Source organism: Homo sapiens, chromosome 2, assembly GCF_000001405.40.
Source record: "Homo sapiens chromosome 2, GRCh38.p14 Primary Assembly".
Taxonomy (NCBI): Eukaryota; Metazoa; Chordata; class Mammalia; order Primates; family Hominidae; genus Homo; species Homo sapiens.
The window spans coordinates 101,974,746-101,989,919 of record NC_000002.12 but is presented as its reverse complement, the minus strand read 5'-3'; the positions used below and the strand labels follow the sequence as shown (position 1 = coordinate 101,989,919).

General features: G+C 49.5%; 1 long non-coding RNA gene across 1 annotated transcript, besides 1 other annotated feature; it reads right to left on the bottom strand.

The window, feature by feature from the left end:
- Positions 1–4,374: 4,374 nt before the first annotated feature.
- LINC01127 (long intergenic non-protein coding RNA 1127) lies at positions 4,375–6,455 on the bottom strand. The gene is made up of 4 exons (NR_103791.1): positions 6,342–6,455; positions 6,099–6,228; positions 4,983–5,336; positions 4,375–4,772 (listed from the first exon to the last, which is right to left on the bottom strand). It is a non-coding gene; the product is annotated as a long intergenic non-protein coding RNA 1127 (long non-coding RNA).
- Positions 6,507–7,007: an enhancer, noted in NCBI's record as "H3K4me1 hESC enhancer chr2:102599375-102599875 (GRCh37/hg19 assembly coordinates)". NCBI's record gives its function as "activates a minimal SCP1, AML or CMV promoter by ChIP-STARR-seq in naive H9 embryonic stem cells {active_cell/tissue: H9 hESC(naive)}" and the evidence as "EXISTENCE:reporter gene assay evidence [ECO:0000049][PMID:30033119]".

Here is a 15,174-nt window from a genome sequence, read left to right as displayed (position 1 = left end):
CCATCGTGAAATCCTCTGAGGTTTGAGGTGAAAGTCACCCAGGATGTTTATTGCAAAGATTGAAGCAATGATTCCTCATTTTTTAGACCCAGGAGGCCTTTCCAAAGTCTGGTCTGGTTCAGAGATTAGCAGAATCCTCTGAAAACCCTTGTGGCAAGGTTCCAACCCCTCTCTCTTCCTTGTAATGTACAAGCCACAGGGTGGGGAAGGTGAGAAGGGAGAGAGAGGCTACGTCATGTATTGTGACAGGAAATATGTGTCCCCAGTTTTTATGGGACACCCTCAATTCCAAATACTCTGTCATATTATCCCCAGAAACTCACTCATTGTCAGATCAGAGAGCCTTAATTTGGATTCAAGAAAATATGGTCATCAAAACCATAGGATAAATTTAGCAATCAGAACCCATAAAATTAAAAATTCTGGGCAAGCACGGTCCTAGCACTTCAGGAGGCTGAGACAGGAAGATTGGCCACGAGTTCCAGACCAGCCTGGGCAACAAAGCCAAATCCCCCATCTCTACAAAAAAAATTTTTTTAATTACCCAGGTGGGGTGGGGCATGCCTGTAGTCCCAGCTACTTGGAAAGCTGGGGCAGGAGAATGGCTTGAGCCCAGGAGTTTGAGGCTGCAGTGAGCTATGATTGCACCACTGCATTTCAGCCTGGATGACAGAGCAAGACACTGGCTCAAAAAAAAAAAAATCTAAAGGCTGTCCTGGTCAACTGGACAATAACAGGAAAAAAAAAACTCTGTGTCTTAATCCCTTTTCCCATGTAAGGTAACATGTTGTTCACGGCTTCCAGGGATTAGAATGTGGACATCTAATGAACGGCTCCACTATTCACCTCAATTCCTTTCATACCTAAGGCTAAGATTGTCTAGAAAGCATAGACAAAGTATGCACAGAGCTTTAGAGATCTACAGGAGAGATTTTATTTTGTTGTTCATTTCAGAGAAAATCCAGTCTTCATTGCTGAAGTGTTTTTGGTTCCAGGATCTCCTTCTGCTTCTTTCTCCCACCTTGGGTTTCCATGAGAGACACTGGGAAAGGTGAGAATTCCAGGACACCACCCATAACACGAACAGCCCCTGCCCACTTTCCCTCCAACCCCCCTCCCACGAGACCCAGAGCATGCATGAGAGGGCAGCTGGAACCTGGCCCCCTCCAGAGCCTGCTCTCCCTCCACAGGCACCCAGGCCCCATGCAGTACCTGGCCCCGAGCATTCCACCCTCCTGCTCTACCATCCACACAACCAAACCCTCTGCCTGCCGGTGGCTCAGGAGGCTCCAAGCAGGCCCCTCCTGCTCTGACCTGAGGCGCGCTGTCTCCCTTGCATGAGGTGGAAGCCCCTGCTCCCCGGCCTTGCCCTTCTGCCCCGTGGGCCCAGGAAGTTTATTGCAAGGACTGAAGCAATGATTCTTCATTCTTTAGACTCTAGAGACCTAAAACCTGTCTCTCTCTATCTGAGAGAGAAACCCTGGAAGTCGGCCTCCCAGGACATGGATTAGCCACTCACTGAGGTGGACCTACACTCTCTGCTCTGGGGGAGAAATGAAAAAAATTCCTGTTCCTCATGATGGAAATCTGATTTTCATTCTGCATCAGACAGCAGCTCAATGCTTATTCATCTAGCTATTATTTGCACTGCTGAGAACCAGCTCAAGTGTCCCCACACCAAGAATAGACAGATTGGCTTTTCTTACCAATAGTCCCAATTGCTTTCTGATCTGGTCCAAACCGACAGAGAAAACCCCAAATCATGGCACTCTCACAGATACAATCAAGACAGCCTTTGTTATGCACCTGGGGGCTGAAAGAGGCTGCCGTCCACCACAGCTGAGGCTGTGCTTCCACCTCTGCATGTCACAGGCAGCTCCAATCTGAAGCCCTGGGAGCTGCAACTGCCGTGGAGCCTGCAGTCTACAGGACTCATCGCTGAGATATGAAGGTCAGTTCAGTCCCACCAGCCTCAGCAGGAAGAGATGACGAGCAGACTCTCAGACAACAGCTATTGGATCCCAACCAATGCCAAACACCTGAACCAACCCTCAGCTACCCACCTTGCAGCAAACACCCCAGTCCATCCTCCACATCACCCTTCCCTCCTCTCACCTACCCCGACCCACCAGCCCCACCAGCTATTCTAACCAATAACCCACTGGATCTTCTCAGCTCCTGTTAGATGTAAAAATTTCAAATAGCTGGTTAATTGAATTGACTTTAGACTCATAATGAAGGTGGTAAAAAAGCAAAAAACAAAAAAGGTGTGGTCTCTTCCTTAGGACTCCCAGCTGTGTGTAGGTGCACGTGTGTGTTTAGGGGTGGGTGTGTGTGTGTTAATGAGTTGCTATCCTTCATTCTGGCTCCGCGAGAGCCACACCCAGCCTCCCACAACGACTGCCTAAGCAATAATGACTGCTTCTGGCTAGCACCTGGCAGGGCCTCCAGCAGGTAAGAAGACAGACCCCAACCACCACCATTTTGAAGTTCTAAGTATATGAAACATTAAAAACCTATGCCAAAATAGAGCAACAGGAACTAGACTTTATTCTAAAAGTTTGCATTTAGAAAATAAATGCTTTAGAATCAAACAAACCTCATATGCACAACTCACTTGAAGATAAAACCTCAGCGTCACCATCCACACACAGCCTTTGTAACTGTCACGGAAATGGTTTTTCTGGCCACCCTCACTCACACTGCACAACCCTCAACCACCCACCCTACTTTTTTTTTAATTTTTTTTTTTAGAGACAGAGTCTCCCTCTGTTACCCAGCTGGAATGCAGTGTGGCTCAATCGTAGTTCACTGTAACCTTGAACTTCTGGACTCAAGCCATCCTCCCACCTCAGCCTCTGGAGTAGTTAAGAATACAGGCATGCACCACAACACCCAGCTAATTTTTTTTTTAATTATTTATAGAAATGGGGTCTTGCTGTGTTGCCCAGGCTGGCCTCCAACTCCTGGGCTCAAGTGATCCCCCCTACCTCAGCCTCCCAAAGTGCTGCGATTACAGGCAGGAGCCACCGTTCCCAGCAACATACTCTATTATATCCCTAGCTTCCATATTATCTTCCAGCTTCCAGGCAATTGTTTCATTGAATCTTGAGACCTGCTCTGCTTTCTAATAGTCTCTTGGTAACATAGGACATCTTGCTAGGCTCAGTTGACATCTATGCCCCACACTTCTGAAAAGTAGTGATGGTGCTTGAATTGGCCTGCAGGGTCCAAGGTACCCATTGCCTTCTCAGTGTGTATTGTGTTACAGAAAATAACAGGCTTGCACAAATTCCACCTGCATGTCCTCCTGTGCTAGCCAGGCTGTCAGGCACGCAAACTCCATGCAGGACCTGACTTTGATTTGTCATCTTCAAAACACTTCTCTCCCCCAGGGCAGGCAATCAGGGCAGGCTTTGGCAGCGGGGATGATGGCCTTGGCTGAAGTCAACCATGAAGGGGAATCCACGCTCCTCTGTGTCCTGTCACGGGCTGGCATGCCAGCTTTCATCAGAAATGACATTCTGTGTGGTCACTGCATCATCCCACTTTATCCAGCACTGCCGAAGAAATTGCATTTGCCAACCGCCCTAGGCCATGGAGGCACACTGCTACAGCCAGCCTTGGTCCCCAGATCATAATGGAGGGACACCCAGAGAGGAAAAGGGAGGTGGGAAGACCCCTCACCTGGCATGGGAGGGGCTGGCTGAGGTTAGAGACAAGGAACAGTTACACACCAACGCGTATTTACAGAGAGACTTTAAATGGATCTGCAGGGAACACCGTTTCAATCCCCACCCAGCTCAGAACCAACAATTTCCCATTTCTTTGTAAACTACCCTGTATTAATGCAGTCTTTTACTTTGTGTATTCTGGTGCTTTGATATTTGCTGCCTTGCTGATCCTAGAAGGACAGCCACACCCAGGCCTAGCCCATTCCTTGAGACGGTAACCAACGGGCCCACAAACATGCTTCCCAAACCAACCAGCCCTGAGCCTACCCACCCCCCCGACCGCTCTGGGTATTAGGCTCTCACCTTCTGGGCCTCTATCTACCCTCATCACCCCGGGCCAGGTACCAGATAACCAGAGCCCACTGAAGACATTCACACGAACCAATCCTAAGCCTGCTTCCTCCACCGCACCTGTGCCTCCCAGCAGAAACACCATAAAGGCAGCTTCCCTCCATCTGCCTTCTGGCTGCCCCTCCTGGCACACCCCTTCCACCTGGGAACTGTATGACAGTCTTTTCAATGGCAGGCACCCCTGACCTGCTAGTCTTGCCACACCTAAATCATAATGATACCTGTGTTACAGTCACCCTTCCCTGACTCAGGGGAATGTTTGCGCCCCAGGGGCTGACCACTGAGATAGGTTTATCATATCCGTTTTTGGTTTGTTTTTTCTTTAGGAATTTGGAATTTGGTCCCAGAAGGAGATAAGTTGGCCTCTGTGAGGACCTACACATCTAAGGTGTAAACTCAAGTGCTGAGGGGTCACCTTGTCCCACCTGGTACTCAGAGGGGCCAAAAGGGTCACAGTTCAGAGAGAAAAGAATGAGGGAGACGTGCAGAGAGAAGCAGGAGTGAGCTTGGCACCAGCCCACAGCTGCTCTGCTCTGCTCTAGGGCCTCCCCGGATGGCGGCATTCCTAGCCCTGGGCCCCCATCTCTTGAGACCACATCTGGTCACTTCCAGGGCCACATCTCAGGTCCAGGAGCCTCTGGTGTCCGCTTCTATGCTTTTAGTTTGCCATTTGGGTGGTCCAATTGCCTGTCAAGTAGAATCCCTTGTGAAGCATTCCAGTCTCCTTTGGGCTGAGAAAAGTAACTTAAAAATTTTTTTTCTGCACCCTGCCAGGGATAGCCCAGGCCTCAGCAAAGGGCAGGGCAGCATAGCGAGAAAAGCAAGTGCCCCAGGTTGAGAAAAGAATGGCAGAGACAGGAAGCAGCAAATGCCCTGGGTCAGGGAGTGAGGGACCACCTGATCGAGCTCCAACGTCAGCAGTTCTCATAGCGCTGCCCAGACCCCAGCAGCAGGACATCCTGTGCCCCACCCCAGGCTACTGGATCAGAGGCTAGAGATGGGACCCAGCAACCTGCAGTGAACAAGTCCCTCAGACGATTCTGATGTGGCCAGAAGTGTGACAAGCGCTACTCAGATGGTTCTCAACTCTGGCTGTACGAGAGGATAACCCCAGGAAGCCTGCATCCCACCTTCACACCGAAAAAGACCAGGCCAGTCAGTACTTTTTAAGCTCCTACGTGATTCTAATGTGCTGCTCGCCAGGGTGGAGGGCTGTACCACCCACGTTCTCCATTGCTATGTCTTTGGCTCCTGCAGAGAGAAAAAGCAAGTAAGTGAGAACCTTTCAAGGTGGACTCACAGAGGACAGTTAATAAAGACAGGGGTGTAGCAAAGGCTGCCGAGCTGGGTGAGAAGGGGCCTTACAGGACAGTGGTGCTTCCAACGTCTGATCCTCAGTGTCTAATCAGGGAAACCGGGGATCTCAGACTCTGGTTCACACTCACCAAGCTCACAAAAGACCGAGGTCTGCACCAGCATCTTCGCCTATTCTTTCATTCATTCATTTATTCATTCATTTTGGTAATATGCTTTCAAGCACCTGCTCCAAGCCCAGCATTGTTCTAGGCTCTAAGGATTTCCAAGCCAGTGGAGGAAAGTGGCAATAATAAAGATGTAAACAAATAAATGGCTTCATTATAACCAGAAAGATGTATTGTAAGCAATACTCAGGCAGGTCCTCTGCACTGGACAGTTCCCTCCACAAGGTAGAGCCATTCCAATGTCATTTCTTGCTGGATTCAATCTGGGCAATTGGCATTATCTGTTGTCACTCATTCTGCAGCATCGCCCGTGAGTTTGTAAGCCTTGATCTGACAACACTCAGGCAGTACAACTAGGGGCACCAATAATATTTTGGAAATAGAACTAGGATGAAATTTATTCTGATTCCATCTATATGAAAAAGGGTTGCTAAGTACAAAAACACAAAATTATAGACACTACAATCACATACTTAAGAAAATCAATCGTATACCATAAAGTGATAATGCATTGATAACAGATCATACTTACTTGTTTTAGGCGTCTCTATTCAGAACACTCTGTTAGCCTGAATCCATTTCCAGAATGCACTTGACAGACTTCCAGCTGCTTTTTAAATAGATACATTCCATGCTCATTCAAGCCTATCTGCTTCTCAAAGCTGTGAATGAAAATCAAATAAGGCAGCGTGTGAGTCAGCACAGGCTGCGTCTAACAAAGTACCTTAGGGCGGGATGGCTTAGAAACAACAGGAATCTGGAACTTATTTCTCACATTTCTGGAGGCCGGAAGTCGAGATCAGGTGCCAGCATGGGGTTCTGGTGGGGGGACCCTCTTCCTGGTCGCTAATGACCATCTTCTCCCTGTGTCCTCACTGGATGAAAAGGTGAGGGAGCTCTCTGGGGTCTCTTTTATAAGTTCACTAATCCCATTCATGAAGGCCTCCCCCTCATGACCTAATTACCTCCCAAAGACTCCACCTTCTAGCAGAAGAACCTTGGAGGTGAGGATTTCAACAACTGAATTTTGACTCTTGGGGGAAACCGACATTCAGTTCACAGCAGGTGGTAAATGGTGTCTTACCTGAATCATGGGTTCATGCCTTGCCTTCCAGCCACTGAATGAGGAAGAGCAAGTCCATCCCCTGAGCCTCCAAGGAAACAGCCCCAACACCACCCATCAAAGCCCTCAGGAGGGGGAATGAATGGCCAACCATCCTGACCACACTCCCAACAGCCAAAGTCACCAAGAAGACAATGTTCAGATCACTCCTGGGCCTGGTCTCAGAGAAGTCAGCCCCAGGAAATGGTGGTGAAGAATTTCACCCCCCAGACTTTCTTACGGTCCTGGCTGGGGACTGGGGAGGAAGCCACCAGGCTCTCCAGGATTCTGTGGACCTAGCCGTTAATTCTCAGGGGGATCTGAGAGCTCCATGAGCTTCCCTGCCCGGTGCCCTGGCTGCTCCGGCTCTTTAGGCAGAAGAAGCCTGCCAGGCCCACCCTCACCAGCCCAGAGGAGCTGTCCAAGTTTTTTGGCTGTCTTGGGCCAACTACTGCTGGAACTAAGCATAATATTAGCTGGGGCTTGGGAGTGTCTAGTTAGATGGTCGTGTTTCGTTCTCGTGCTTGTAAATCCACAGACCCACAGATCATCTGCATAGAAAGAGCCTCGGGGCCACTCCAGTGCACCATCTGCATTTGTAGATGAGGAAGCCACTGGTGGGGCTTCATCCATGTTAAATATTGAGGGCTGAATATGTATTTGAACTTCAATGGCAAATCTTTGACAGAACAGATGGAAAAATCGTTTTCCAGCACAGGGTCCCTGCCTTCTGGCTGCACCTGGTGTCCTCCAGCTGCACAGGGCCAGGCCATGCTGTGTGACGCTGGTCTCAGGGGAGGCCTATCTTGGAGCTGTGTCTGGGGTCCACGTTGACTCAGGTTCTCAATCCAGCTTTGAAACCTTTAGCAAGTACCTTAACCTCCCCAAACCTGCATTTCTGCTACTGTGATAAGAGGGCTGTGTGAGCAGCAGTGCCCATGCACACAGCATTGATGGAGCGCCTGACTCTGTCCCAAACACTTTACTCACATATCGGCTGATTGGATCATCCCAGCAACCCAAAGAGGCAAGTGTTATGGTGTATTAACAGTCCTACTTTACAGGTAAAGAGACTGAGGTATTCAGACATTAAATAACTTCTCAAAGGTGATACCGTGTTATGACGGGTTGAATTTTGTCCCTTCAAAACAGGCATGCTGGAGTCCTAACCCCCAGTATCTCAGAATGTGACCTTAGTTGGAGATGGGGTCTCTATGGGGATAATCAAGTCAAAATAAAGTTATTAGCCTAGGCCCTAATCCAACATGACTGGTGTCCTTATAAAAAGGAAAAATGGGGGCACAGAGGCAGACATGCAGGGAGGGACGATGATGCAAAGACACACAGGGAGGAGATAGCTGCATGCCTGGAGTGATGTGGTGTCCACAAGCCAGGGGACGCCAGGGGTTGCCAGCAGCAACAGAAACTATGAAGAAATAATGAAGGATCTCCCCCTAGAGCTGTCAGAGAGAGCCTGGCCCTGCCAGCACCTTGATGTCAGACTTGTAGCCTCAAGAACTGTGAGACAATACATTTCTGTGGTTCTAAACCACTGACTTGGTGGTACTTTGTCATGACGACCCTAGAAAACCAATACACACAAGCAGCTCGTGTTGGAGCTCAGGCTTCCTGTGCAGGGTGGCTGCGAGGAGGGGCTGCCACACATGTTCCCATGTGATGGTAGCAATGGCAGTGGTGATGGCAGTGAGCTAAGAACCCTGCAAAGATGGAATAGGCACCATCCACATTCTTGGAAGATTAAAATAGACCAAAAAAGATGGCAAACATCTCTAACAAGACTGAAACATCCCCTAACTCCCCAGCAAGTAGCAACAGGACAGTTCAGAAAAGAATGTCATGTACCCTGGAGAGAGGGGATGGCTTTGTTTATCACTTTCTTTTTACAGCCAATATTTCACTCTGAGGGGTGGAGCCTGTTCCCTTCCATCAAGAAGTGAATGATTTTGGCTGCTCCTGCCAGGCGGAATGAGGCCAGAGCCAAACGCCTCCCAGGTGAGGCAGGTGAGAGGCCTCTTGCAAACAGGCCCCTCCCTGAGCTTGGTCAGCACAGAGTCGACGCAGGGGCCCAGATCTGGCAGACCCCCCCCCCATCTCGGGGTGCTGGGTGCTAGATGAAAGTACAGCCCCTCACCTGCTTCAGGAGTAGAGTGCATTGCTGATCTACACCCTAAAAATAGGGGCCCCAGTGAGCAAGAGTGGGAACAAACTGCACGAAGTGATATCGGTCACTAATTCAGTCCAGCCTAAAAACCATTTCTTAGTTCTTTGTTCCGTCTTTGTTCGTGGATTTCAAGTGCAACGAGAATACGACTCTGTACTGGTTGGTCGCTGGGCACAGGCTTCACCTCTCTGCGCCTCAGTTTTCTCCTCTGTACAAGGGAGACAGGAATACTATCTATCTAGTATTGTTTTAGGATTAAAGCAGCACTTAATAAAGGCTGGGCACAGAGGAAGGCACTCATTAAGTGTCAGCAACTGTGACAAAACCAACATGTGGACTGATGAGTGCGCTAGACAGGAAGACACGGTCTGAAGCATAATGACTCGAGGTACCGAGAAATACTTAGTATAAGGTGGATTCCACCTGGAGACAGTAAGGACTGGCCCTGCTCCCAGTCTTGGCTGCACAGCTATTGGCTCCCACCCATGTGCACAGCCCCACCCGAGGTGCTGGTCCCAGCCTATTTTGGTCAGAGGGAATTTAGGGAGCCCCAGGCAACTGGCTCAGGGTCTCGTCAGCCTGACCAGGCCGTGCTGACCTTGTTCCTGCCAAGCCCCACTCCCCAGTCAGGCTGAGACCTGCAGGGGCTGCCTTCCTGGCTCTGCATAGACATCCAGGGCCAGGCACCCAGGGGAGGCAAGTCAGAGGCCAGGAAACTGGTCCTGGTGCCTGGAAGGTAGAGACGTCCATGGAATTGATGTGAGGGGCTGAGGGAGGCGGCAGTGGGCTGGTGGGAGCAGGAGGGATGTGGCAGTTGGTGAAGTGGGCCCCATCCTCCCTTCCAGAGACATCCCTGGGTGCCTGCTCTTGTGGGGCTGGTGCCTGACCTGGCCATAGAGGACAGACCCCTAAGGAAGCAGACTGACCCTGCAGACCCCGGGTTCTGATGACTGAGCTCTTGATGTCTTCTTCATGATCAGCTCCCCGTGCACCCCAGTTCCCATGAAAGGAGAGATAAGGGGCTGATGTTTACGAAGCTCGCTCTATGCTCCAAGCACTGGACCTGCATCATCCCATTTAATGCCCCGGCCCTCCATGCAGTGAGCAATATTAGCTCATTTACCAAGGTGACAAGGAAACCGAGAGTCAGAAAGACTAAGTCACGCAGCCGGTAAAAGACAGAGCCAGGAGTCTGATCCAGGAGCCCTGGGTCAGACTGGGTCAGCCCTGTTCCCTGCTCACAGTTCTGCTCCCCTATCCTGCCAGGCAGGCCCTCAGTCCACCTCCAGACTCCCTGCTGCCCGCAGCTGGCAGAGCCTCTGCCTCCCGACCTTCTTCAGGACCTCCTCCAGTAGCTGGGGGGGCTGTGGGCTCATCTCTGAGTGACACCTCTTCCCCAGCTCGGCCAGTTCTGTGTTCCTTGGCGCCCTGGTTCTTGCAAGGGTGAACATTGGGAACTGGTTGCTCAGGCTAGGCAGATGGAGCAGAGAAGTCTAAGTGATGGGCTCCTGAGAATCCGTGGGCTGCAGGTGGCGGCTGGGCAACAGGGTTGTCAACACAGGGCGGTAGGCTCTAGCCCACACCAGCAAGACCAAGTGTGCTCTATACGAGGTCAGGAATTCAAAACAGCCCCTTTTGAGTTGACAGCACTTCACATCTTCCCAGTGAAGCTCTTGGCCACAGAAGCTTCCCTGAATGAGCCCAGTGACTCACCGGGCAGTGTGAGCAGGGTCACACCAGAACTTGTCCAGTCCAGTAGGGAGAGGGATCACTGGTGGTCGTCTTCTTAGTCAAAGTCAGGGCATCGCTCTTGTGGCTACAGGACCCAGGGCTGTCCCTGTCCACCATCTGGCCTGTCCACTGACCACAGGCCAGACCTTCAGTCCAAGCCCTCATCCTGCACATGCCCAACCCGCTTCGCTCCAGCTGCCAGCCCCCACACAGGCTGGTCCCACTGTCTCCCTCTCTCAGGAGGGCCCCTTCCTCTTCAGATGACGCCCCATCCAGGTTAACCCCTCAGGGGGCCTGCACTCCCAAACCAAGCCACCTGGAAACATTGGCCTTGAAATGCAAATGCTATTGGCCTTGGAGCAAGGCAGCCAGGACTTGAACCCAAAGGCCTGCTGTCCTCCTCTTCAGAGGGAAAGGGGACATTCTTGTGTTTATTCTTTCAGGATCTTCCTAGTGCCCTGAGAATCAGATGGAAAGTGGTATCTCAATAGATTTTCCTGCAGAAAACAGTTGGGCTGGCATGGGGACTTTAGCTCCCGGGCCTCAAGGGGAGGCGGCCAGCAGGGTGGAGATGCTGGGCCTGCACAGCCCCGCCACAGCCAGTGCCCACAGCAGAAAGAGGGGAAGCAGTGCACCTGGACAGGAGACTAAAGCCTCATCTTCCAGAAGGGAGTTTCTGGAGACCCCTGAATGTGGATCCCCACCGTGCCTTCCTCCAGTGATGGGCGGCAAGCAGTCATCTTGGCCTTAAGGGCAGGTGAGTCAGGACTGGATTTGGTCAGTACTGGGGATCAAATCCTACCCCAAATCTCCAATCGGGCCTTCTTTGTTCAGAGCTGCCTCCCTCCACTGTTTACATCTGGGCCCTTCCAAGATGTTGAAAGAATGAGGCCCCCAAAAGTGATGGGGCAGAGAAGGCACAGACAGCTCTCTGGCCTCCCTGGCACCCACCCTTGAAAGGACTTTCCCTTCTCTTCCTGCCCCCTTCATGGGCTCTGATCTCCTAGGTGGCAGGAGGGCAGGTCTCAGCTGTCCAATCCCCAGGGGGACCAGGGTTCTTCCTCCAGGGGTTCTTAACCTGGCTGCACCTGCTCATCAACTAGGGAGCATTTAAGAATCCTGATGTCCAGGCCCCACCATATACATTCTAATTTCAGAGTTCTGAAGCTGGCCTGCGCATCCAGATTTTTTAAATAGATTTAACAGTACAAGTGCAGTTTTGTTACGTGGATACATTGCCTAGTGGTGAATTCTGGGCTTTTAGTGTAGCCATCACCTGAATAGTATACGTTGTGCCCATTAAGTAATTTCTCATCCTTCATCCCCCTCCTGCCCTACCACCCTTCAGAGTCTCCACTGTCCATTATTCCTCTCTCTTTATCCATGTGTACACATTATTTAGGTGCCACTTAGAGAACATGCAGTATTTGACTGCCTGTGTCTGAATTATTTCACTTAAGATAATGGCCTCCAATTCCATCCATGTGGCGGCAAAAGACATGATTTCATTCTTTCATGATTTCATTCTTTCTTAAAACTGAGTAGTATTCCACTGTGTGGAATACACACAGATATATATATATATATATATATATATATATATATATATATATATATATCACATTTTCTTTATCAAATCATCCATCAGTGAACACTTAGGTTGAATATTCACTACTGTGAATAGTGCTGTGATAAACATGCAAATGCCAGTATTTTTTTTTTCACTTTTTGTAGAGACAGGATATCCCCATGTTGCCCGGTCTGGTCTCAAATTCCGGAGCTCAGGCGATCCTCCCGCCTCAGCCTCCCAAGTGCTGGAATTATAGGCATGAGCCACTGCACCTGGCCTCTTTTTTATAGAATTATTTATTTTCCTTTTCTTAGATACCCAGCAGTAGGATTTCCGAGATGAATAGTAGTTCTATTTTTAGTTCTTTGAGAAATGTATATGCTGTATTCCATAGAGGGCATACAAATTTACATTCCCACACACAGTGTGTGTGTCCCTTTTCTCTACACCCTCACCAATATCTGCTGTTTTTTCACTTTTTAATAATAGCCATTCTGGTGTGAGATGGTATCTCATTGTAGTTTCAAGTTGCATTTCTCTGATGATTAGTGATGTTGAGCATTTTTTCTTATGCTTCTTGACCATTTGTATGCCTTCTTTTGAAAAATGTCAACCATCGAGATTTTTAAAAGATGCCCAGGGGAATTCCAGTGCTCAGCTGAGCTGAAAAATAACAATGCTGTGCTCTGAGCAGGACTTAGCTCTGTATTACCAGCTGTGTGTTCTGTCTGTTAATGCAGGATGGCATGAGACAGCCAAATCCCCTCAAGCACAGTTGAAAGAAGGGCTCTTGGGCTTTCTTAAATGTTTCATGACAGCACCAAGAAATTCCCCTCTGCTGCAAACTGACCTGATAGAGAACTCTGGCCCTGGAAGAAGCCTGAAGATGGCGAGGGCTCTCTACTGCAACTTTGCCACTAGATTGCCATGAAGGCAAACCGAAGACCAGCCTTGACCCCATGTATACACAGACATTTTTACACTAAACCTTTATTACCAAGCAGGGACAAAAAAAGTGTTCGTACATTCTGTTCTGTAGGCTCGAGAAAGTTCCAGTTCTCCATCCTGGTCATTACTGCAAACTCCACCTGACATGAAATGTTCATTTCAGCCAAAAACCAAGCCAGCATTAGAGAACCGGAATCTGCCAGTGACCGTGGCTGGATACAGAATGAACAGGGCATCATCCCTAAGGAGGGTTCTTGTGTCCTATTTATGCAAGCATGAGAGTGCTTTCTAGAATCATTTAGCCAACCCACACATCTCAAGTACCTTTCATCTCAGCAATGACGGCCCGTTTCTGACTTGAATTATGAACATGAATAGGTCACTGTTTTCACCAATAAAAGGTGACTGACATTCCGTTGGTTGCTGATTGAGATATAGGTAACAGAAGTCTCCTCTGGGATGCATACTGTTTACTGGAAGGCCAGCTGATGCTTTTGGCCTGAGCTGCCTTGACTGAATGCTTGTAGCACGTGGGTATAGCTGAATCTCAGTGCCACGCATGACATCACACACCTAGATGCTGACACGATTAAAAAGCCAATTACCTGATGCAGTGAGTAGAGCTCAGCCCTACCCCTGAGATGCCTACCAAAGGTGCCAACCTTAATCTGATCATGAGCAAATGCCAGGCAGAAAGACAGGGACTTGTACAGAATCACCAGCTGGCATTCTTCGAAAGTGTCAATATCATGAAATACAAAGAAAAGCTATAACTTATTCCAAATTACAGGAGACTGAAGAGAGATGACAACCAAATGCCACACATGATCTTGGATTCTCTTTTGCTGTAAAGGGCATTATTGAGACAAATGGGAAAATCTACACAAGGTCTGTGTATTAGATAATAGTATCATGTTCATTACCTGATTTCGATCATTGTGCTGTGGTTATATGAAAATTCCTTTTCTTCAGGAAATACACCCTAAAGCAGCGGTCCCCAACCTTTCTGGCACCAGGGGTGGGCTTCGTGGGAGATCATTTTTGCACGGACTGGGGAGGAAGGAATGGTTTCAAGATGAAACTGTTCCACTTCAGATCATCAGGCATGAGTTCGATTCTCATAAAAAGCGTGCAACCCAGATGCCTCGCATGCGCAGTTCGCAACAGGGTTCGCACTCCTCTGAGAATCTAATGCTGCTGCTGATCTGACAGGAGGCGGAGCTCAGGAGGGAAGGCTCGCGGGCTGCTCACCTCCTCCTGTGTGGCCTGGTTCCCAACAGGCCACAAACTGTACTGGTTCTCGGCCCAGGGGTTGGGGACCCCTGCCCTAAAGTATTTAGCAGTAAAGGGATGTGCCTAACCATACCTTTAAATGATTCAGGAAAAAATAATACAAAGACACACCACACACACACACACACACACACACACACGCGCACACGGATATAAGGAGGGCAGAAGGTGAAGGATAAAGTAAATATTAAAAAATGTAAACATTTGGGGAATCTGGAAGAATAATGTGGAATTCTGTTTATTATTCTTGCAGCTCTTGTTTAGGTTTAAAATGTTGTCAAATTAATTTTTAAGTTAGAAAAACTTCTGTCACCAGCCTCATGACACCGTCCACACCTGGCTGGTGTTCCCAGGTGTGCTCTCGGGTCTGGTCTCCTCGTCCCAGTCCCAGCCCCTCTACCCATGTCTGTGGCCACTCAGGACAGCCACGCAGGACTGTTTGCCGGGTTCCAGAATTCCTTGGCTCAGCCGTTGGCTGTCAGGGGGCCCTCGCTTTCTGAAACTCCCCAGGAGCCTAAGCAGCAGTCAGGATTCTCCTCCTGTGGGAATTCCTCATCTCTCCCTGCTATCAGAGGCCTAGGGAGGAGCCACTGGCTTCAGCCCCAAGCCTTGCTCCCCCGACCCCGCCCCCCTCCCCTGACTCCAGGCAGGAGGGAAATTGAGAGGAGCCCTGAGTCGTCGCCCTTGGGACTGGCCTGGCCCACTTTGTTTTCAGTTTCTCCATGAGTCAGATCCATGCTTTTGTGGAAAGAAAATAAAGACCACCCCAGTGAGAAAGAGCA